Genomic DNA, 24,663 nt, shown 5'->3' on the forward strand with positions numbered 1-24,663 from the left:
AAATCAAGAGCAATGCCAGGAGTCCAACAGGGAGAAAAGAGAATTTGTAACCAAGCTCATTAATTCCAAAGCTTGATGAAACAGACAATTACCTAAAGGGAAAAGCTGTCTAAACTGACTCAGAAAGAGGTGGGAAACTTCAACAAGCAGTAGACGCCCAAGGAATTTTGAAAGCTGAGTTAGAATCGCTCTTCCGAAAATTCCTCAACCCATGCGGTTTTGAAGGTGAATCGTGGCGGTGTTTCAAAAGCAGACACTTTTAAAAATGCTAATTAGACGATTCTGCAATGTAAAGGGAGAAATAGAAAAGCTTCTCAAGGTTCTTTCTTTGTTTTGTAAACAAATTATTAAAACTTTAGTATCCCGACTTGAGATAGATAGGAAAGAAAGTAAATCTATAGCTCCCAGATACATATCACTTCAAAAGACCTCAAGGAGGACAGGCACGGTGGCTCACTACTGTATCCCAGCACTTCGGGAGACCGAGGCGGGCAGATTACTTGAGGTAGGTCAGGAGTTCGAGACCAGCTTGGCCAACATGGTGAAACCCTGTCTTTACTAAAAATACAAAAACTAGCCGGGCATGGTGGCGCACACCTGCAATCCCAGCTACTCAGGAGGCTGAGGCAGGAGAATCACTTGAACCCGGGAGGCAGAGGCTGCAGCGAGCCGAGATCACACCACGGCACTCCAGCCTGGTGATAGAGCTAGACTCCATCTCAAACAAACAAACAAAAAAACCCAAGGGAATGGCTGGGGCATGAAATCTTGCAGTGCTTAAGAAGTTAATGCATCACGACAACGAAGATCATTGCAGAAATGTGGGAGCTTTCAGCTGCTGGGTCTTAAAAACCAACACCCCAAAGTACGGTGCTTTGTCCTGCTGAACTGAAGAAGCCTCAAGATCTCTCTAACTTCCCCCTCCTGCTTCCTCTGTGTCTCCCGATGCACAGGATGAAGTTGTTCTCTGAAGTTTCCTGAAGTCTGGACATGTCAAAGAAGGAAAAATGACCAGTGTCCCCTTCCCTGAGTTTCTGAACCCACATCGCGGAGGAAAGACTGATGTCTGTCAACAGCCCTGCAGAGACTCCTCATAAACCACTGTCTGTTCTGAGGGTTCCACAGCCTCTGTCCCTGCAGAGACTCGTCATAAACCATTATCTGAGGCCAGGCGCAGTGGCTCACACCTATCATCCCAGCACTTTGGGAGCCCGAGGCGGGTGGATCACCTGAGGTCCAGAGTTCGTGACCAGCCTGGTCAGCGTGATGAAACCCCGTCTCTACTAAAAATACAAAATTAGCCAGGCGTGGTGTCACATGCCTGTAATCCCAGCTACTCGGGAAGCTGAGGCAGGAGAATCGCTTGAACCCAGGAGGCAGAGGTTGCACTGGGCAGAGGTCCCGCCACTGCACTCCACTCTGGGCAACACAGAACGAAACTCCGTCTCAAAAAAAACAAGCAAACAAACAACAATAACAAAAAACATTATCTGTTTTCGGGCCACTGTACATTGTTCAAACCCATTGACTTCTCTTTAAAATCATTTACTATTTGGAATCCTATATTCACCCCCAATTCCCCACTCCCCTTCCGCTAAGAAGAAGAGGACACAAGCGTCTGTACCCCTTTGTGTAATGGGGCAATTCCTCTGACATTCTCCTCCATGGATGAGAATACATTTGCCTGTCATTTCCTTTATTCATGTTTCAAAAAGGGCAATTGTATTTTGTGCGTTGATTTTTCAGCAAACCTTCAAATGGCAAAGGGGGATGTTTTTCCCTTGGCCCCTACCACAGCATCCCCAAACGGTCTCCAGCTCCTAAGAAGATTCATTTATGGGCACTACCTAGCTACACAGCGTCACCCACCGAGCTCGCACACAACCAAGGCTTTGGGGTGAGAATGTACAAATACATCACGGAATCCAAGCCCCCAACACCGCACACGCAGCCTGGAAGTGGTTGTGTCAGAGCTGTGTGAACCAGCGTGACTCCATCTTGAATAGGGGCTGGGTAACACGAGGCTGAGACCTGCTGGGCTGCATTCCCAGGCGGTTAAGGTATGCTAAGTCGCAGGATGAGATAAGAGGTTGCTACAAGGTACAGGTCATAAAAACCTTGCTGATACAACAGCTTGCAGTAAAGAAGCGGGCCAAAACCCACAAAAAGCAAAATGGCGACAAGAGTGACCTCCGGCTGTCGTGACGGCTACATTCCCACCAGCGCCAGGACAGTTACAAATGCCACGGCAATGTCAGGAAGTTACCCTCTACGGTCTAAAAAGGGGAGGCATGAATAATCCCCCCCTCGTTTAGCATATCATCAAGAAATCACCGTAAAAATGGCCAACCAGCGGCCGCCGGGGATGCTTTGTCTGCGGAGGAGCCATTCATTTACTCCTCTACCTTCTCAATAACTTGCTTCTCTTTCCACCACTGAGCCGTCCTGAATTCTTTCTTGCACGAGATCCAAGAACCCTCCCTTGGGGTCTGGACTGGGGACCCCCTTTCCTGTAGCATCTTCAGGTGCAGCCGTGAATCAGAGAAGCAGAAGGGGCTTACCTTGAAAAGCAACCAGCCGAGAAGCTTCTTCGCCAGACGGGTGGCCCAGAACACGTGCTTGTAGACGTCCGTGTTGACCACCCCGGGGTCCACCACGTTGGCGGTCACGTGGCTTCCCTCAGCCGCCAGCAGCCGCTGGAGGTGGTAGGTGAACAGGACAAGGGCCAGCTTGCTCTGGGCGTAGGCTGCGTGGGGTGAGTAGCAGGCACTGTGGGGCAAGCAGGAGAAGGTGTAAGAGGCTGACGGCGTTCACGCCTAAGTGCTTCATCCCAGCAGCATCTGTACCTGCGGCCACGGCCACGTCTATACGCAGCCACCTCCCCTAGACCCATGTGTGATCATGCCATCTGTTGGCCAGTTTTCCAACGCGTGTGGATTTTTCTAGTTCACCTTTTTATTATAAACTCATCCCTTAATTGTATTGGGGTCAGATATGTTAAATTATGTTACTAATTTTTTATTTATTTATTTATTTATTTTGGAGACAGAGTCCCCCCTCTGTCGCCCAGGCTGGAGTGCAGTGGTGCAATCTTGGCTCACTGCAACCTCCACCTGCCCGGTTCAAGTGATTCTCCTACCTCAGCCTCCCCAGTAGCTGGGACTACAGGTGCCCGCCACCACACCCTGCTAATTTTTTGTATTTTCAGCAAAGATGGAAGTTTTACCATGTTGGCCAGGCTGCTCTCGAACTCCTGACCTCAAATTATCCACCCGCTTCAGCCTCCCAAAGTGCTGGGATTACAGGCAGGAGCCACTATGCTCCCTGTTTTTTTTTTTTTTTTTTTTTTTTTTTTTTTTTTGAGACAGATTCTCACTCTGTCACCCAGGCTGCAGCCTCCCGGGTTCAAGCGAATCTCGTGCCTCAGCCTCCAGAGTAGCTGGGATTACAGGCTCCTGTCACCACGCCCGGCTAATTTTTTGTATTTTTAGTGGGAACAGGGTTTCACCATGTTGGCCAGGCTGGTCTTGAACTCCTGACCTCGGGTGATCCACCCTCCTTGGCCTCCCAAAGTGCTGGGATGACAGGCATGAGCCACCGCGCCTGGCCACATGTGGTCTTCTTGATGAGTCTCAAATCATAAAAGACAACCACACAAGCAATTTGGCAAACTTCCCAAGCTATCATAAATTTTCCTCACATCTACTGCAAGCTCTGTAGTGTGCTAAGCACATGTTAAACTCTTTGCACCTTGGTTCAAGCAGTTTAGAGAAATGTTTTAGTATCACAGGACATAGTGATAAAAATCGATCCGATAACCGCGGTAAAGTGAGTAACGTGCCTCTCTCTCTCTCTCTGGTAACCTCAATCACCAGAAACACAGAAAACTGGATGTTTCCAGCTTTGCTCCTGTAAATATGTTCTACTTTTTCTATGTATGCCTTAGAAACACTTTTTAAAGAGATGTTATTTGCGGTGTTACATAACGTCCCTTGAAGGCACACAACCACCATAGACTCCTTTTAGAATTTAATGCTAGGCACAGATCATTAGCCTTAGAATTGGCCTCATAGTTCTTTTCAATAAGACAAGGAGAAGTATTTGAGCAATAATGTTTTTCTTTCCTCTGGGGCTCCAAAGATGCCCAGAGGCGATCAATTTGCTACACAATTATCGTAACAACATTTCAAGGTGGCTGAAGGTTCATATCGCTTGCTTCTTTTATATATATATATATTTTTAAATTTTATTTTTATTTATTTATTTTTGAGACAGAGTCTTGCTCTGTCAACCCAGCTGGAGTACAGTGGCGTGATCTCGGCTCACTGCAAGCTCCTCCTCTCGGGTTCAAGTCATTCTCCTGCCTCAGCCTCCCAAGTAGCTGGGACTATAGGCGCCTGCCACCTGCCTGGCTAATTTTTTGTATTTTTAGTAGAGACGAGGTTTCACCATGTTAGCTAGGATGGTCTCGATCTCCTGACCACGTGATCTGCCCACCTCGGCCTCCCAAAGTGCTGGGATTACAGGCATGAGCCACTGTGCCCGGCCTAATTTTCTGAATTAACCACATGGTATATGTATCCTGATGGAAGCTGTGAACAGAAAATATCTGGGCACCCCAAAAGCGGGAAGCTCAAAGGAAAAGTCCAGCTGGAACCTGCTGAAGGCAAACCTGCCTCCCACTCTGTTCAAAGTCACCCCTGTGCTCACTGAGATAGATGCATATCTGATCACCTCCTTTGGGAAGGCTCATCACAAACCCAAAAGAATGTAACCATCTGTGTCTCACCTACCTGTGAGCTGGAAGCCCCCTCCCTGCTTCCAGTTGTCCCTGCTTTTCAAGGACTATACTTCTTATTTTTTTGAGACAGAGTTTTGCTCATATTGCCCAGGCTGGAGTGCAGTGGCACAATCTTGGCTCACTGCAACCTCTACCTCCTGGGTTCAAGCCATTCTCCTGCCTCAGCCTCCCGAGTAGCTGGGATTACCAGCGCCCGCCACCACGCCCGGCTAATTTTTTGTATTTTTAGTAGACATGGGGTTTCACCATGTTGGCCAGGCTGGTCTCGAACTCCTGACCTCAGGTGATCCGCCTGCCTCGGCCTCCCAAAGTGCTGGGATTACAGGCGTGAGCCACCGCACCCACCCCAACGTAGCTCTTACATATATTGATTGATGTCTCCTGTCTCCCTAAAATGTATAAAACCAAGCTATGGCCAGACGCAGTGGCTCATGCCTGTAATCTCAGCACTTTGGGAGGCCAAGGCGGGCGGATCACAAGGTCAGGAGTTTGAGACCAGGCTGGCCAACATGGTGAAACCCTGTCTCTACTAAAAAAAAAAATTAAAAAATTAGCCAGGCATGGTGGCATGTGCCTGTAGTCCCAGCTACTCCGGAGGCTGAGGCAGGATAATTGCTTGAACCTGGGAGGCAAAGGGTGCAGTGAGCTGAGATTGTACCACTGCACTCCAGCCTGGGCAAGAGAGTGAGACTCCATCTCAAAAAAAACAAAAAAACAAAAAAACACACAAACAAAAAAAAAACAAGCTGTGACCTGACCACGTTGCACACGTCATCAGGACTTTCTGAGGCTATGTCACAGGCTCACGTCCTTAAATTTGGCAAAACAAACTCTAAATTAACTGAGACCTGTCTCAAATTTTCAGGGTTCACAAAGCCATCTCAGATATAGTTTGAATATCAGCATGATATTTATGCTAAAAAACTAAAGATAAGATCAAAAAGCCTAAAAGAATGTTTAACACATTCAAAAGATCAAAAGAAAGACATCCGTCATCATATGCGTTTCAGAAAAAGCTTCTGAAAATCCAATGCCTCTTACCAACAAAAGCTGTTCCTAAATAAGAATACAATATTGAGGGCTGGGTGCGTTGGCTCATGCCTGTAATCCCAGCGCTTTGGGAGGCTGAGGTGGGCAGATCACCAGGTCATGAGTTTGAGACCATCCTGGTTAACATGGTGAAACCCCATCTCTACTAAAAATACAAAAAATTAGCTGGACGTGCTGGCGGGTGCCTGTAGACCCAACTACTTGGGAGGCTGAGGCAGGAGAATCACTTGAACCCGGGAGGTGGAGGTTGCAGTGACACGAGATCACGCCATTGTACTCCAGCCTGGGCAACAGAGTGAAAGTCTGTCAAAAAAAGAAAGAAAGAAAGACAGAAAGAGAGAAAGAAAGAAAAGAAAGAAAAGAAAGAAAGAAAAAGAAAAGAAAAGAAAGAAAGAGAAAGAAAGAAAGAAAGAAAGAAAGAAAGAAAGAAAGAAAGAAAAAGAAAGAAAATAAAAGAATAGAAAATTGAAATAAATGAAGTAAACTTTGACCTAAGGATCTGGAGAAGAAAAATGAAAATGCTTTCCTAAGGAAAACACATAAAAGAAAACCAAAAAGATCAAAGCAAATGAGAAATACAGAAAGAAAACAGTATAAACATAAATGATACCACTGGGGAACAGAGACTGATGTTGGTTTTTGTTGTTGTTGTTTGAGAAGGAGTCTTGCTCTGTCACCCAGGCTGGAGTGCAGTGGCGCCATCTCAGCTCACTGCAACCTCTGCCTCCTAGGTTCAAGCAATTCTCCTGCCTCAGCCTCCTGAGTAGCTGGGATTACAGGCATACACCACCATGCCCAGATAATTTTTGCATTTTTAGTAGAGACGGGGTTTCATCAGGTTAGCCAGGCTGGTCTGGAACTTCTGACCCCAAGTGATCCACCCACCTTGGCCTTCCAAAGTGCTGGGATTACAGGTGTGAGCCACTGTACATGGCCCTGGTATTGGTTTCTAAACCTCCTCTCCCTGTTATAAAATGTCCAATATACACTATATTTTGCAGATGAAAAGTAGAATATTACAATTACAGAGCAGACCCTGAAACTATAAAAAAAAAATTAGGGCTGGGTGCAGTGGCTCACACCTCTAATCCCAGCACTTTGGGAGGCCGAGATGGGCAGATCCCGAGGTCAGGAGATCGAGACCATCCTGGCTAACATGGTGAAACCTCGTCTCTACTAAAAAAACAAAAAATTACCCGGGCATGGTGGCGGGCGCCTGTAGTCCCAGCTACTCGGGAAGCTGAGGCAGGAGAATGGCGTGAACCCGGGAGGCGGAGCTTGCAGTGAGCCGAGATTGCGCCACTGCACTCCAGCCTTGGTGATAGAGTGAAACTCCGTCTCACAAAAAAAAAAAAAAAAAAAAAATTAGATACCCTCTATATTCATGTATTCATTTTTTCATAAAATAAATGAACAAAACCAATAATGCATGCCTATGCTGGGGCTCAGAGAACAGTAACCTAAAATGAAGACCTCAGAAGCAGCATCAGAAGCAAACCTTTCTTGCTGACCTTCTCCTACCCTCCTGTCTCTCAGACCCATTTCGCCCCAAGGGCACCACGGAAACTGGAATCCTTCTTCCCCAAGGTGGGTCCCGAAAACCAAAGCACCTTTCCCCCAAGGCCAGCCAGAAACCCTATAAATAGGACTCTAAGTTTCCCTACACCCTGAGTATATAAAAACTCGCCATAAAGAAATTTCCTATCATCGTGCAGTGGCTCACGGCTATAATCCCGGCACTTTGGGAGGCCAAGGCAGGTGGATCACTTGAGATCAGGAGTTCGAGACCAGCCTGCCCAACACAGGGAAACATCACCTCTACTGAAAATACAAACATTAGGCCGGGCACGGTGGCTCACGTCTGTAATCCCAGCACTCTGGGAGGCCAAGGTGGGCAGACCACAAGGTCAGGAGATCGAGACTATCTTGGCTAATACGGTGAAACCCGGTCTCTACTAAAAATACAAAAAATTAACTGGGTGTGGTGGTGGGCGCCCGTAGTCCTAGCTACTTGGGAGGCTGAGGCAGGAGAATGGTGTGAACCCAGGAGGCGGAGCTTGCAGTGAGTGGAGATTGCGCCACTGCATTCCAGCCTGGGCGACAGAGCGAGACTCTGTCTCAAAAAAAAAAAGAAAAAAGAAAATACAAACATTAGCCAAGTGTGGTGGCGGGCACCTGTAGTCCCAGCTACTCGGGAGGCTGAGGCAGGAAAATTGCTTGAACCCAGAAGGTGGAGGCTGCAATGAGCCAAGATTGCGCCATTGCACTCCAGCCAGGGCGACAAGAGCAAGACTCTGTCTCAAAAAAAAAAAAAGAAAAAGAAAAGAAAAGAAAAAGAAAGAAAAGAAAAGGAAAAGGAAATTCCTTGACCTGCCTTGTTTGAATGTAGGTTCTACGACCCCCTTCCCAGAGAGGGTCCCACCCCACCCCCAGAAGGAAGGCGCACTGCTCAGAGGCCAAAAAAATCTAGACAGGCCTGTCTGTTTCCCCACTCAGACCGTCAGCCTTAGATCACACCCTCTTCCTCCAATCCTATTCCTACACGGATTTCGTTCAGACGTCGTTGAACCTAAGCATAAAAATAGACGGTTTCCCCTGCATCTTTGGGTCTTCCCTCTGAAGGCTGCTGTATGTATCCATCGAGTAAACTTTGTATGCCTTTTCTCCTATTCATCTGCTTTTGCAAGTTGATTTTTCAGCTTGCAAAATCAGAGGGAATGACCCTCCATCTGTTCTCCTATCACACTGTCATCATTTCCACTGTGAAGAACATGGGGAAAACTGGCCAGACAACCAAAGGAAGGGCGTGCACATACATTTGCACATCTTTTGGGAGAGCAACTTCACAACATGCAACTCAATCTTTAAAATCATAAATCTTTTTTTTTTTTTTTTTTTGAGACAGAGTCTTGTTCTGTCGCCCAGGCTAGAGTACAGTGGCACAATCCTGGCTCACTGCAACCACCCCCTCCTGGGTTCACACCATTCTCCTGCCTTAACCTCCTGAGTAGCTGGGACTACAGGCACCTGCCACCATGCCCGGCTTTTTTTTTTTTTTTGTATTTTTAGTAGAGACGGGGTTTCACCGTGTTAGCCAGGATGGTCTCGATCTCCTGACCTCGTGATCTGCCCACCTCGGCCTCCCAAAGTGCTGGAATGACAGACGTGATGTGAGCCACCACGCTCAGCCCTTTTTGTGCCTTTTTTTTTTTTTTTTTTTTTTTTTTTTGAGACAGAGTCTCGCTCTGTAGCCCAGGCTGGAGTGCGGTGGCGCAATCTCAGCTCACTGCGACCTCCACCTCCCGGGTTCAAGTGATTCTCCTGCCTCAGCCTCCCAAGTAGCTGGGACTACAGGCGCCTACCATCACGCCCAGCTAATTTTTGTATTTGCAGTAGAGATGGGGTGTCACTGTGTTGGCCAGGCCAGTCTCGAACTCCTGACTTCAAGTGAACCGCCCGCCTTGGCCTCCCAAAGTGCTGGGATTACAAGCGTGAGCCAACGCACCTGGCCTATGAATATCTTTTAGTAACATCACTACTTGAAATTGATCTTAAAAAAATAAACCTTGGGCCAGGCATGGTGGCTCACGTCTGTAATCCCAGGACTTTGGGAGGCCAAGGCTGGCAGATCACGAGGTCAGGAGATCGAGACCATCCTGGCTAACACGGTGAAACCCCGTCTCTATTAAAAATACAAAAAGTTAGCCAGGAGTGGTGGCGCATGCCTGTAATCCCAGCTACTTGGGTGCTGAGGCAGGAGAATCGCTTGAACCCGGGAGGTGAAGATTGCAGTGAGCCGAGATCACGCCACTGCACTCCAGCCTGGGCAACAGAGTGAGACTCCATCTCAAAAAAAAAAAAAAAAAAAATTAAGCATTGATTCAAAAAGTCTTTTCTGGCTGGGTGCAGTGGCTCACATCTGTAATCCCAGCAGAACTTTGGGAGGCAGAGGTGGGCGGATCACCTGATCCTTTCAGGGGTTTGAAAGGGTTCTTGGATCTCGTGAGAAAGAACTCCGAGTGGGTCCATAGAGTAAAGTGAAAGCAAGTTTATTATGAAAGTAGAAGAATAAAGAATGTGTACTCCATAGATGGAGCATCCCGAGAGCTGCTGGTGGCCTATTTTTATGGTTATTTCTCTATCATATGCTAAACAACGGGTGGATTACTCATGAGTTTTCTGGGACAGGGGTGACCAATTCCCGGAGCTGAAGGTTCATCCCCCTTTTAGACCATGTCATGGCATCTGTAAACCGTCTCTTATCAGCTAATGCATTAGAATTAGCGTATCATGACCAGAGAGGATGACCAGAGGTCAGTCGTCACCATCTTGGTTTCGGTGGGATTTGGCTGGCTTTACCACAACCTGGTTTATCAGCAGGGCCTTTGTGACCTGTGTCTTGTGCTGACCTCCTCTGTCATCCTGTGACTTAGAATGCCTCATCCACCTCCAGAGAAGGCAGCCCAAGCAGGTCTCAGCCTCATGTTACGCAGCCCCTATTCAAGATGGCAGAGTTGCTCTGGTTCTAATGCCTCTGAAAAATTTAGGGGATTGTTTTCTGAGCCCCAACACTGTGATCTTAGCAACTGAGCAATTTTCCCACCTTCATGTAACCAAAGACAGAGTGGATCACAGAGCTTGGAAAGCTCGTACCCGGGAAATCGCAGCCTGCAGCTGACATGTTCTGAGATGTGCCTTGCCGTTGTGCAAAAGGCATGTTTGAATGCTTGCATGAGGACAAGTGACTCCCCCATTAACACCTCCAGGGGCTCAGTTCTGCCTCCAGCCACTGTCTCATCACGCAGCCATGGGTAGCAGAAAGCCACATGCCAAAATCTGACATCGGGCCTGTAAAAAATAAAGGTTCCTGTTCAAAGACTTTCCTCCCCATCTAATTAGGAATAAATAGTAACTTCTCTGAGAAGCAAACTTCATTCAAAGACTTGTGCTAACATTCCTAAATATCTGCTAGCCGTGATAAAGAAATCAATGTACTTTATGCTCTTAGCTCCCACAATTTAACCTAAGTATCAGCCCTGGCATGCTTATACTGGTCCAAGCAAGCATTACGTCACAGCCTGTTCCTCTTCTTTATCTAAAAGTGCTTTTTCCTTTCTCAGCATTCCACAAGTTACTTCCTCCTTCCTTTGTTCTCCTCTGCCTTTGCCTCTTTTAAATAGTTCCAAGGTGCTGGCCAATCGGGACAAATACAGAATGTGAGGTCCCATTCCAGCCCTGGAAACTGGACACAGCAGTAGGGCGGACGCATCAAGTGATAAATGACCCTGTCCCCTTTGTTCGCTGTACTCTCCTGGCAAAACTGCTGGAGAGTGTACCCTTTCTGCAGAAAGTAAAAAAAATGGCCTTGCTGAGGAAATTAATGTTCAAGTGCTATTTCTTTATGGCACTGGGGAACAAGCATTTCAAACAGACCTGAGGTTTACCCGATTTCTGCTGGAAAAGAAACCTCAGGTCTGCTGCCTTAGAAATAAATAAGGGCAGGACAGAAAGGGTGACAAGGGGGTCCTTAGCCATGGAGACTTTGCAAAATAATGAACAATCAAAACATAACTTTTTGGGGGTTGGGGTGGGGTAGGAGGGGACTGGAAAGGCTGACTGCATAATAAAGAGATTGGAAGAATTGGCTGGGTATGGTGGCTTATGTCTGTAATCCCAGCACTTTGGGAGGCTGAGGTGGGTGGATCACCTGAGGCCAGGAGTTCGAGACTAGCCTGGCCAACATGGTGAAACCCCGTCTCTACTAAAAATACAAAAATTAGCAGGGCGTGGTGGCAGGTGCCTGTAATCCCAGCTACTCGGGAGGCTGAGGCAGGAGAATCCTTGAACCCGGGAGGTAGAGGTTGCAGTGAGCTGATACCACGCCATTGCACTCCAGCCTGGGTGACAAGAGCAAAACTCTGTCTCAAAAATAAATAAATAAAAAGAAATCTAAGAGACTGGAAGAATTAAGACAGGGAAATTGAGTAGTTCAGAGCTGAAGTCCCATCTCTGATCCAAGATAAACTGTAAACCTCCAATTACTGTCAAGATATCTTTTTAAGGCAAACTTCTCCAATCTCCTCACCCCAGGGGAAGAGAAGAGTCCAGGAAACAGATAGTTACTAAGTGCAGAGAGGCAAAGACTGGCTTTCCTGCTGGCATGATCGTTTTTTAAATATCAGCTACAAGCATTCGGTTCTGAATCTCCAGCATTTGATTGATGGGTAAGAGGAATGGTTACTTGAAAAAGCAGAAAATGCATCATCCAAAGGCAGATTTTTCCAGAGTAAATGGAGGGGTTGGTTCTGTAATTATGGTTTTACACAGTAGCGTGGAGAAGAGAGAACTAAGATTGTTTAAAAATACGGTGTGGGGGCAGGCGAAAAGCCAATACATTTCTCTACAGGAGGTGAAGAAATGAATCCAAGAGGGGCACGTAGTTTCAGGAGAGATTCCCTGGGGTGGGGGTTAGGGATGAAGAAATATCCACCCCAGAAATGGGAAAGAATGAAAGCAAATACGTAGGAGGAAATGCCCATTAAGGTCTGTAAATGAAACCCTAAGGACTCTGACAAAAGTCGTTGGTATTAGGCCGGGAGTGGTGGCTCGCGCATGTAATCTGAGCACTTAGGGGACACTAAGGCAGGCAGGTCGCTTGAGCCCAGGAGTTCAAGACCAGACTGGGGAGTATAGTAAGACCTTATCTCTACAAAAAATACAAAAAGTACCTGGGTGTGGTAAAGCACACCTGTAGTCCCAGCTAATTGTGAGGCTGAGGTGGGAGCAGATCATTTGAGCCTGGGAGGCGCACATGGCAGCAAGCCAAGATAGCGTCACTGCACGGCCTGGGAGGCAGATATGGCAGTGAGCCAAGATGGCGCCACTGCACGGCCTGGGAGGCGGACATGGCCTTGAGCCAAGATGGCGCCACGGCACTCCAGCCTAGGAGGCGGACGTGGTCGTGAGCCAAGATGGCGCCACGGCACTGCAGCCTGGGAGGTGGACATGGCCTTGAGCCAAGATGGCGTGGCCGCACTGCAGCCTGGGAGGCGGACATGGCCGTGAGCCAAGATGGCGCCACGGCACTCCAGCCTAGGAGGCGGACATGGCCGTGAGCCAAGATGTCGCGGCCGCACTGCAGCCTGGGAGGTGGACATGGCAGTGAGCCAAGATGGCGCCACCACACTCCAGCCTGGGAGGCGGACATGGCCGTGAGCCAATCAGCAAAGATGGCGCCACTGCACTCCAGTCTGGGTGAGACAGGGAGACTGCCAAAAAACAAAATGAAACAAAAAATCATTCAATGAGCTTTCCTGTTGAATAAGAAACTGAACAAAAGCCACCTGCTACTAAATCTGGACCTTATAAAAGGGTATTTGAGTTCTCCATTTTTTGCTGATTAAAGCATTACTCTCTTCTTGTTATTAAAAATCGTGAAGACTGAACATACTTTTGAGTGTTTATAAGACCGGGCGCGGTGGCTCACGCCTGTAATCCCAGCACTTTGGGAGGCCGAGGCGGGCGGATCACGAGGTCAGAATATCGAGACCATCCTGGCTAACAGGGTGAAACCCCGTCTCTAATAAAAATACAAAAAAATTAGCCGGGTGTGGTGGCAGACGCCTGTAGTCCCAGCTACTCGGGAGGTTGAGGCAGGAGAATGGCGTGAACCCGGAAGGCGGAGCTTGCAGTGAGCTGAGATCACACCCTGCACTCCAGCCTGGGCAACAAAGCAAGACTCTGTCTCAAAAAAAAACAAAAAGAAAGGAGCCCTTTATAAGTTATTGTGATGGATACTGTAGGATGTAAACGTGTCATATCTCGGTCTCCCAACAGCCAGTCTCCGTAGGCGGTGTCCTTTTATATGGATCAACAGGCAGTTTTTGCATTGATTATTTATCCACTTTGAGAGGTACTTGTGTAGAAGCAAGGACAACTGAGTTTTTATGTTAACTTCCTACGAATCCGTTGCATTGCAACGTATTTCCATTGCAGGACATTGTTGCATAATCAAATTGCCAATGCAATTAGGGAAACTCAATCGACTGCTCATAACCTAGTTGACTGGAGCTATTTTTCCAGTGCTCATTAAACCTGATGACAATCACTGTTTTAATGAGTAAGTATGGGTGGCATTCAATATATTTATAAGTATTATAACAATCCTTCATGTCTAAATTGAATTTTCCCTTTGGCAGTACAAACAACTCCATTACATTCTTTCTAGGATATCTACGCTTAATATTCTTGATAACTATCATCTACATTTAATATTCTTGATAACGATCCGCCTACCAGGAACTCAGAAAATACTGCGAATAAAGAGAGGTTTTTTTTGTTTGTTTGTTTTTTTGAAACAGGGTCTCGCTCTGTTGCTAGGGTGGAGTGCAGTGGTGCGATCTCGGCTCACTGCAATCTCCGCCTCCCGGATTCAAGTGATTCTCCTGTCTTAGCCTTCCGAGTAGCTGGGACTACAGGTGCCCGCCACCACACTCAGCTAATTTTGGTATTTTTAGCACAGTGGGGTTTCACCACATTGGCCAGGATGGTCTTGATCTCCTGACCTTGTGATCCACCCCCTAGGCCTCCCATAGTGGTGGGATTACAGGTGTGAGCCACTGTGCCTGCCCCACGCCCCCCCCCTTTTTTTTCTTTTTTTTTTTTTGAGAGGGAGTCTTGCTCTGTTGCCCAGGCCGGGCTGGAGTGCAGTGCTATGATCTTGGCTTGCTGCAACTTCCACCTCCCGGGTTCAAGTGATTCTCCTGCCTCAGCCTCCTGAGTAGCTGGGACTACAGTCACCCGTCACCACACCCAGCTAATTTTTGTATTTTTAGTAGAGACGGGTTTTTACCACATTGGCCTGGATGGTGTCGATCTCAAAGAGAGGTCTTTGACTTTTTCCGCTAAGAGAAAACAACCAAAACAACACAGGACATTGCAGGTATCTTGTGAATTCCAGCTGCATCCAAACACCCTGATACTTTCGCTCATAGACACATAGTGAGTGTGTCAGCTGTCCGACATATCTCAGAACACAGGGGGAACATGTGAAACCTTGAGTGAAATCCGAATCGAGATGGGATACCACACTCAAAACACGTTACACAACTTAGTCTATACTGGATGATTTCACGGGATGTGAATTCATGGTTAGGAATAAAATAATGAAGAAGTCACCCAAAGTTACATAAGTTGAGAAACTCAAACCAAGACAGCCATGTTCACAGTGAGGCACGCCCATGCCTATAACAACTCCATGACTGAGGGACGTCAGAGTGAAATAAAGAATTTCTTAAATAGGTAGAGAATCTATCATGGCCAGGCACGGTGGGTCACACCTGTAATCCCAGCACATTGGGAAGTCGAAGTGGGCAGATCATTCGAGGTCAGGAGTTCGAGACCAGCCTGACCAACATGGTGAAAACCCAGCTCTACAAAAAAAAAACACAAAAATTAGGTGGGCATGGTGGCGGTGCCTGTAGTCCCAGCTACCCGGGAGGCTGAGACAGGAGAATCACTTGAACCCACGAGGCAGAGGTTGTAGTGAGCTGAGATTGCGCCACTGCACTCCAGCCTCGATGCCTGGGTGACAAAAGCGAAACTCTGTCTCAAATAAAATAAAATAAAACAAAACAAATTTAAGGGTCTCACAGGAAAGAAATCTTAAAGAATAGAAAATGATTTTGGAAGGTATGTGTCCCTCTTTTTTTTTTTTTTTTCTCTCCAGGCTGGAGTGCAGTGGTGCGATCTTGGCTCATTGCAACCTCCACCTCCCCGGTTCAAGCAATTCTCCTGCCTCAGCCTCCCCAGTAGCTGGGACTACAGGGACATGCCACCATGCCTGGCTAATTTTTTATATTTTAGTAGAGACGGGGTTTCACCATGTTGGCCAGGATGGTCTTGATCTCCTGACCTTGCGATCCACCCCTCTCAGCCTCCCAAAGTGCTGGGATGACAGACTTAAGCCACTGTGCCTGCCCTTTTTTTTCTTTTTTTGAGAGGGAGTCTTGCTCTGGAGTGCAAGCTGGGCTGGAGTGCAGTAGCATGATCTTGGCCCACTGCAACCTCCACCTCCCGGGTTCAAACAATTCTCCTGCTTCAGCCTCCAAAGCAGCTGAGATTACAGGCACATGCCACCATGCCTGGCTAACTTTTGCATTTTTAGTAGAGACGGGGTTTCCCCATGTTGACCAGGCTGGTCTCGAACTCCTGACCTCAGGTGATACGCCCGCCTCGGCCTCCCAAAGTGCTTTCTATTGAAATTTATTTCACCATGGGGATGATTCGGTACAGCCAAGTTGAGGAGACATGTTCTCTCATGTGTAAAAACTCTTGGATTTTTGGAATATGTTACAACACTGTGATTTATTCCTTTACAAGAACGCTAATTTTCCAAGCCAGTAAATCAATCTTGGCAATTAACACTAATTACTGGCAATGATTATATCAGGCAAAAGCCAAGAACCACATCTTTCATCCAAAAAAAAAAAGCAGTATATTTTAAATTCAAGTGGTTCTCATATTTTAGCATGCATCAGAATTCCCCCAAAGACCTTCTCCTTGCCAACCCCTGTTCTCCAAACTTCGGGTTTAGGAGATCTGGAGGATGGTCTGAGAATGGGAGCATCTTCATTTCTTTTTTCTTTTTCTTTTTTAAGACAGAATCTTGCTTTGCAGCCCAGGCTGGAGTGCAGTGGTGCGATCTTGGCTCACTGCAACCTCTGCCTTTCGAGTCCCAGTTGAAGCAATTATCCTGCCTCAGCCTTCCGAGTAGCAGGGATTACAGGTGTGCACCCCCACGCCCAGCTAATTTTTGTATTTTTAGTAGAGATGGGGTTTCTCCATGTTGGCCAGGCTGGTCTTGAACTCCTGACCTTGTGATCCACCTGCCTCGGCCTCCCGAAGTGCTGGGATGACAGGCGTGAGCCACCATGCCCGGCCCACTCACCATATATTTACTGAACTTCAGTCATATGTGACGCAGGGATGACACAAGAACAGAAAAATCAGGGAGATGGAGACGGAGCTAACCACGGAAGCTGAAGTTCGTCGGCCAGATGGCCCAATGCACAATAATTCGGGGAACACACATCCAGGCAACTGCACCTGACTGGGAATACCTGGCTGTCCTACCACCATCTGGTCATCTAGGGGCTCCTACAGTAATACAGAAGACGCCGGCTGAGGCGTGTTCTATTCTACCAAGGGGACCTGGGCGTATCTCATGGACTGAATTACGTCTCCCCAGATTCCTATGAAGTTCTAACTCTGAGGAACTCAGAAAGATGACCTTATTTGGAGATAGGGTCCTTTTATTTTATTTATTTTTTGAGACAGAGTTTCGGTCTTGTCACCAAGGCTGGAGTGCAATGGTGCAATCTTGGCTCACTGCAACCTCCGCCTCCCGGGTTCAAGCGATTCTCCTGCCTCAGCCTCCCCAGTAGCTGGGGTTATAGGCACCTGCCATGGCGCTTGGCTAATTTTGTATTTTTTAAGTAGAGACGGGGTTTCACCGTGTTGTCCAGGCTGGTCTTGAACTCCTGACCTCAGGTGATCCACCTGCCTCAGCCTCCCAAAGTGCTGGGATTACAGGCATGAGCCACCATGCCCGGCCGGAGATGGGGTCTTTAAAGATGCGATTCAGGTAAAATGAGGTCACTAGGGTAGGTACTGATCCAATAGGACTGAGGTCCTTATAAGAAGAGGAGATGAGGACACAGACACACACAGAGGGACAACCAAGTGAGGACACAGGGCGATGATGACATCTCCAAGCCCAGGAGAGAGGCCTGAGGAGGAACCAGCCCTGCTCACACCTTGATCTCAGACCTCCAGCCTCCAGGACTGTGGGAGAATCAATGTCTGCTGTTATAAGCTACACAGTCTATGGTATTCTGTGATAGCAGCCTGAGATGGAGTAAGGCATTGCATAAGAAGAGGAGATGAGGACACACACACACACAAAGGGACGACCCTGTGAGGACACAGAGAGAAGATGGCGTCTACAAGTCCAGCAGAGAGGCCTCAGGAGGAACCAGCCCTGCCCATACCTGGATCTCAAACTTCTAGCGTCCAGGACTGTGAGAGAATAATGTCTGTTGTTTATAATCTACCCAGTCTATGGTATTCTGTGATAGCAGCCTGAAATGGGCTAAGACACCTCATAAGAGGAGGAGATGAGGACACAGACACACACAGAGGGATGATCCTGTGAGGACACAGGGAGAAGACGGTGTCTACAACCCAAGGAGAGAGGCCTCAGGAGGAGTCAGCCACACCCACACCTTGATCTGGGACCTCCAGCCTCCAGGACTGTGGGAGGCTCAATGTCTGCTGTTTAAGCCACTAGGTCCGTGGTATTTTATTATGGCAGCCCCAGCAAAGCAATGTTCTCTCCTTTAAGAGATCACTCCTAAGCTATGAACGATGAAAAAGGGGCCTATTTGGAAAGAGTCAGTGCCGTCAACGAAGAACAGTTTCCAGAAAGCTCAGAGGAGGCATCTGTTAACACTCTCTCATTATCCCCTGCAGAGGAATCATGGAGAAATGAAACATGGCTCAGGTGAATGCCTGTCATCAATATTCATTTTACATAATCAAACTGGTGAAGCAAAAGAGGAGAACAGGAAAAGAAAAGCAGTGTAAGTTGAATTGTAAGTCTCGAAAAAATAGGGGGAAGTGGCCGGGCGCAGTGGCTCACGCCTGTAATCCCAGCACTTTGGGAGGCCGAGGCGAGAGGATCACGAGGTCAGGAGATGGAGATCATCCTGGCCAACATGGTGAACCCCCGTCTCTACTAAAAATATAAAAATTATCTGGGCGTGATGGCGCATGCCTGTAATCCCAGCTACTCAGGAGGCTGAGGCAGGAGAATCGCTTGAACCCAGGAGGTAGAGGTTGCAGTGAGCCGAGATCGCACCACTGCATTGCAGCCTGGGCGACAGAGCAAGACTCTGTCTCAAAAAAAAAATATATAGATAGATATATAGATATAGATATAGATATATAGATAGATATAGATATATATAGATATAGATATATAGATAGATATAGATATATATAGATATATATATAGATATATAGATATATATATAGATATAGATATATACAATAAATTAAAATAAAAACAATACAATACAAATAAATAAACAAAAAATGTTAGAGCCGGCTCTGAGCTGGCTCTGGCTCTCAAGCCCTTTGACTTTGAAGTTCCTTGATCTGCTTTGCAATCTGTATTACTTTCCTGGGATTGTCCAAACAAATGAGCACAGACTGGATGCTTCAAAGTCACAGAAATTCATCCAGTGAAGTGATACCTTCTGGAGACCAGAAGTCTGAAATTCAGGAGTGGACAGGGTCGTGCTCTCTCTGGACGGTCTTCTAGGGCAGGAACCCTTCCTGCCTTTCCCAGCTTCTGGGGGCTCGGGGAGTCCCTGACCCCGTGGTCAGATCACTCCAGTCTCTGCCTCCGTCTCCACGTGGACTTCTCCTCTGTGTCTGTGTCTCCTCTTCTGTCTTTTAGAAGGATACCGGTCAGTGGATTTAGGACCTACCCTACTCCAGGATGATCTCATCTCTAGATCTCTAACTAATTACACCGGCAAAGTTCTTTATTTTCAAATAAAGTCTCATTCTAGGTTCTGGGCTTCGGGATGTGGACAGATCTTTCTGTGAACCACCATTCAATCCACTACAATTGTATCCAGTTCCCTCCAGAGGCTCTAGGGGAGGGCCCTTCCTGCCTCTCCCAGCTCCTGGGGGCTCCGGGCATCCCTGACCCTGTGGCTGCATCACTCCAGTCTCTGCCTCCATCTCCACGTGGCCTTCTCCTCTGTGTCTGTGTCTCCTCTTCTGTCTCTTTCCAAGAACACCTGTCATTCCATTTAGGGCCCTTCTTATATGTAGAGTGGGGTCGGAATAGTTAATATTATGTGTTAACCTGACTGGATCATGGGGCACCTAGATGTTTGATTGAATGTTACTCTGGGGTATCTGTGAGGGTGGAGGGGAGGGTCCTTCCTGCCTCTCCCAGCTCCTGGGGGCTCCAGGCATCCCTGGGTGTGTGGCCGCATCACTCCAGTCTCCACCTCCATCTCCATCTCCATGTGGCCTTCTCTGTGTCTCTCTGTCTCCAAATTTTCTACTTCATTTTTTTTTTTTTTTTGAGACAGAGTTTCGCTCTTGTTGCCCAGGCTGGAGTGCAATGGCACGATCTCAGCTCACTGCAACCTCCACCTCCCAGGTTCAAGGAATTCTCCTGCCTCAGCCTCCCGAGTACCTGGGATTACAGACGCGCAGCACCACGCCCGGCTAATTTTTTGTATTTTTAGTAGAGACAGGGTTTCATCATATTGGTCAGGCTGGTCTTGAACTCCTGACCTCAGGTGATCTGCTCACCTTGGCCTCCCAAAGTGCTGGGATGACAGGCATGAGCCAGTGTGCCCAGGTATTTTCTACTTCTTGTAAGGCCACCCATCATATTGGATCAAGGGTCTACCCTAATCATCTCATCTTCACTTAATTCCATCTGCAAAGACCTATTTCTAAATTAGGTCTCAATTATACATATTTGGAGTTAGGATGTGGACATAACTCTTCAGATAAGAGTTAATGGTGGTCGGGTGTGGTGGCTCATGCCTGTAATCCCAGCACTTTGTGAGGTCAAGGCAGGCAGATCACTTGAGGTCAGGAGTTTGATTACAGCCTGGCCAACATGGTGAAGCCCTGTTTCTACTAAAAATACAAAAATTAGCTGGGTGTGGTGGTGCATGCCTGTAATCCCAGCTACTCGGGAGGCTGAGGTGGGAGAATCATTGGAACCCGGGAGGCGGAGGTTGCCGTGAGCCAAGATAGCACCACTGCACTCCAGCCTGGGCAACAGAGTGACATTTGTCTCTTTCAAAAAATAAAATAAAATAATAGTTAATGGCATATAAGCAATACCGTCAAAGCCTTTCTTTAATATGTGTTTTTATAGGAATAAAAACTCTCTTGTTAATTGCACTTGGTAATATATGCTTCCTCAGCTTTCTTAGGTGATAATGAGGCTCAATTCTTATTAAGCGCATGAATCTGCTCTGTAGCACCTAAAGTCTCTAGGAAGTAGCTGTCATTTCTGTTGGGTGGGGTTGTTCTGGATGTGATCTGCTTATCTTCATTATTCAAAACAGAGATCGTGGCTGGGCACGGTGGCTCATGCCTGTAATCCACGCACTTTGGGAGGCCGACATGGGAGGATTACCTGAGGTCAGGAGTTCGAGACCAGCCTGGCCAACGTGGCAAAATCCTGTCTCTACTAAAAATACAAAAATCAACTGGACGTGGTGGCGGGTGCCTGTAGTCCCAGCTGCTTGGGAGTCGAGGCAAGAGAATTGCTTGAACCCGGGAGGCGGAGGTTGCAGTGAGCCGAGATCACACCACTGCACTCCAGCCTGGGAGACAGAGTGAGACTCCATCTGAAAAAAAAAATGAGTAAATACAACAGAGATTGCTTTGATCAACAGTATCAACCCCAAAGTGAGCTCTCAGAATAACAGACAGGCGGCCCTCCACCAGTGCTGTACGAGGAAGGGGTGTTCCTGTGTGTCTTTGGCGAGCGGTAATGCCTGCCAAGCAGCTCACATTCCCCAGGTTCCCCAACCCATGCCTTGCCTTGCTCAGTGAGTCGTGTCTGCAGCAAGTGCTGCTGGCTGTGCCAAGACTCCTCGTTCCCTCCTCCCTTCTCCCAGGCCCTCTCATACAGCAGGCTCCGTGTGTGGAGCCCCGAGTGGGCATCAGGGAAGGCTGGCCCCCACACACCCAGCCCAGCCTCAGGCCTGGAGTTAGGGAAGCCAGTCATGGCAGGGCTGTTCTTGCCAGTGGGTCCAGGCAAACCCTTCAGCATGGAGCCCGAGGCAGGAGGCCTACACAATCCTGCAGTGAGCCCTGAGCTGAGAAGAAGCCTGAGAAACACGCATGTCTTCCTCTGGGTGCTGTCATGCATGGGTGTGAAAACAGGAAATGCCCCAGCCAGCATACACACGTCACCTGCGCACACTGGCACGCACATGACTCACCTGTGCACACGAGCACTCACGCACCTTATCTGTGCACACTGGCACGCACCTCACCTGTGTACACAGGCATGCACATCTCATGTGTGCCCACGGGCACAAAGACCTCATCTGTGCCCACAGGTACACACAACTCACCTGTGCATATGGGCACGCATGCACCTCACCTGTGCATACTGGTACACACCTCACCTGTGCACATTGGCACACACATCTCAGCTGTACACACAGGCACGCACACATGCCCTTGCTTCCTCAGGGCACCATGAAGGAGAAGCAGCCCCTCCCGGCCACAGGCCCTGCTCTCCCTGCATTCCTCTCACCCGCCCTTCCCTGCACAGCCCGGTGCTTCTTCAGCTGCCCGGAGAAGATGAAGTCCTGGCCAGCCTCGCTCCTTCCCTCCCACAACCGGCAGGGTTCACACTTCATGCAGGATCCCATCGAGGCCGACTCCCTCATCCCACACCCTTCAGAGCAGAGAGGCTCACAGACACAGGAGCTCAATTCGACAAAACAGATGGGCCAAGGTATCCTAGGAGGCCCCCACGGCCCTCCCTTCGTTACATCCTGCCCCTCGCTGTGCAGGGAAATGCAAACTGTTAGGAGCTGGCAGGGCCTGTGCCCCTGGGCTCACCCTCCTCGTAGTCCTGAGGGTACTCCAGGGCCTGGGGGTGGGGAGGGCGCCCACCCTGCTGTACATTACAGAGGCTGGCCCCAAAGTCTGATGCTGGCACAGCCAAGCAGCCAGTTCTTTCCGAGTGTGGCATTAACGCTTTGTGATCTTAGGGCTGCAGAGAAATTCAAAGGCGAGTCCGACTGTGTGCTCTGACTGTGTCTGTCTCCAAATTCCTACATGGAAATCCTCATCCCCCGTGAGATGGTGTTAGGAGGTGAGGCCCTTGGGAGGTGATGAGGTCACGATGGGGGAGACTCAAGTATGGAATCAGTGCCTTTATAAAGGGGACCCCAGAGAGCTCCCTTGCCCCTTCCACTGCTTGATGACACAGTGAGAAGGTGCCATGTGTGAACCAGGAAGCGGGTTCTCGCCAGACGCTGGCACACTTTGATCTTGGACTTCCAGCCTCCAGAACCGTGAGACATAAATGTGTGTTATTTATAAGCCACCCAAACTATGGAATTTTTCTTTCTTTTTTTTTTTTTTTTTTGAGACGGAATTTTGCTGTTGTTACTCCGGCTGGAGTGCAGTGGCGTGATCTTGGCTCACCACAACCTCCGCCTCCCGGGTTCAAGCGATTCTCCTGCCTCAGCCTCCCGAGTAGCTGGGATTACAGGCGTCCACCACCACGCCTGGCTAATTTTGTATTTTTAATAGAGATGGGGTTTCACCATGTTGGTCAGGATGGTCTCGATCTCCTGACCTCGTGATCTACCTGCCTCAGCCTCCCAAAGTGCTGGGATGACAGGCGTGAGCCACCACACCCGGACTGCTGGATTTTTTCTTATATCAGCTTAAACAAACTAAGATGATTATTCCCACAGAGGAATCGTTTTTATCCTTAAGGCGGGGTTAGGAGGAATTCACAAGAGAGACCTGCTGATGGACAGACAGTACATTGCGTGTCGACAGGAGTCCACACCAATGCCACCTGCAGATGCAGTGCCTGACATTCCCATGGGGGCACAAGAGAAGGTTTAAATAGATCCGTTTTCCTTTTCTATGTCTCACCTCTGTGTTTCTTGTTCCTTCTAAAAAATAAAGTAACAATACCATCGCACATTGCTAAGTTGCCCAAGGACAGCAAATGGCTGGGGATGTACATATCCCACAACACAGCGCCAGGAGCACCTGTGCCCGGCAGATGCAGGCAGCACCATTTCCAGAGCACATGTGCCCAGCAGATACAGGTAGCAGTGTGCCCAGAGCACCGCTACCCAGCAGAAGCAGGGAGCACCGTGCCCAGAGCACCTCTACCCAGCAGACTCAGGGAGCACCGTGCCCAGAGCACCTGTGTCCAGCAGACTCAGGGAGCACTGTGCCCAGAGCACCTCTACCCAGCAGATGCAGGGAGCACCATGCCCAGAGCACCTGTGTCCAGCAGACTCAGGGAGCACTGTGCCCAGAGCACCTGTGCTCAGCAGACGCAGAGAGCACCGTGCCCAGAGCACCTGTGTCCAGCAGACTCAGGGAGCACTGTGCCCAGAGCACCTGTGCTCAGCAGACGCAGAGAGCACAATGCCCAGAGCACCAGTGCCCACCAGATGCAGGGAGCACTGTTCCCAGAGGACCATGCCCAGCAGATGCAGGGAGCATCGTGCCCAGAACATCTGTGCCCAGCAGATCCAGGGAGCACCATTTCCAGGGCACGTGCGCCCAGTAGACACAGAGAGCAGTGTGCCCAGAACACCTGTGCCCAGCAGACACAGGGAGTACCGTGCCCAGAGCACCTGTGCTCAGCAGACACAGGGAGCACCGTGCCCAGAGCACAATGCTCAGGAGATGCAAGGAGCACCGTTCTCAGAGCACCCATGCCCAGCAGATGCAGGGAGCACTATGCCGGGCACCAATGTGCAGCAAATGCGGGGGCACTGTGCCCAGAGCACCCATGCCCAGCAGACTCCAGGGAGCACCGTAGCCAGAGCACCTGTGCCCAGCAGATGCAGGAAGCACCAGTGCTCAGCAGACGCAGGGAGCACTGTCCCCAGAGCACCAGTGTCCAGCAGACACAGGGAGCACTGTCCCCAGAGCACCAGTATCCAGCAGACGCAGGGAGCACTGTCCCCAGAGCACCAGTGCTCAGC

General features: G+C 48.7%; 1 protein-coding gene across 1 annotated transcript in view, besides 3 other annotated features; it reads right to left on the bottom strand.

Annotated features, from left to right (window-relative positions):
• DHRSX (dehydrogenase/reductase X-linked) overlaps nt 1–24,663 on the bottom strand; it is a 281,471-nt gene that overhangs the window by 20,956 nt on the left and 235,852 nt on the right. Inside the window, exon 6 of the mRNA NM_145177.3 lies at nt 2,562–2,769. Within this exon, the coding sequence (NP_660160.2) occupies nt 2,562–2,769 (208 nt within the window). The remainder of the gene's footprint in view (nt 1–2,561; nt 2,770–24,663) is intronic.
• Nucleotides 12,332–12,842: an enhancer, noted in NCBI's record as "H3K27ac-H3K4me1 hESC enhancer chrX:2170834-2171344 (GRCh37/hg19 assembly coordinates)". NCBI's record gives its function as "activates a minimal SCP1, AML or CMV promoter by ChIP-STARR-seq in primed H9 embryonic stem cells {active_cell/tissue: H9 hESC(primed)}" and the evidence as "EXISTENCE:reporter gene assay evidence [ECO:0000049][PMID:30033119]".
• Nucleotides 12,843–13,351: an enhancer, noted in NCBI's record as "H3K27ac-H3K4me1 hESC enhancer chrX:2171345-2171853 (GRCh37/hg19 assembly coordinates)". NCBI's record gives its function as "activates a minimal SCP1, AML or CMV promoter by ChIP-STARR-seq in primed H9 embryonic stem cells {active_cell/tissue: H9 hESC(primed)}" and the evidence as "EXISTENCE:reporter gene assay evidence [ECO:0000049][PMID:30033119]".
• Nucleotides 22,144–22,978: an enhancer, noted in NCBI's record as "H3K27ac-H3K4me1 hESC enhancer chrX:2180646-2181480 (GRCh37/hg19 assembly coordinates)". NCBI's record gives its function as "activates a minimal SCP1, AML or CMV promoter by ChIP-STARR-seq in primed H9 embryonic stem cells {active_cell/tissue: H9 hESC(primed)}" and the evidence as "EXISTENCE:reporter gene assay evidence [ECO:0000049][PMID:30033119]".

The sequence above is a fragment of the Homo sapiens genome, chromosome Y (genome assembly GCF_000001405.40).
Source record: "Homo sapiens chromosome Y, GRCh38.p14 Primary Assembly".
In the NCBI taxonomy this organism is placed as follows: domain Eukaryota; kingdom Metazoa; phylum Chordata; class Mammalia; order Primates; family Hominidae; genus Homo; species Homo sapiens.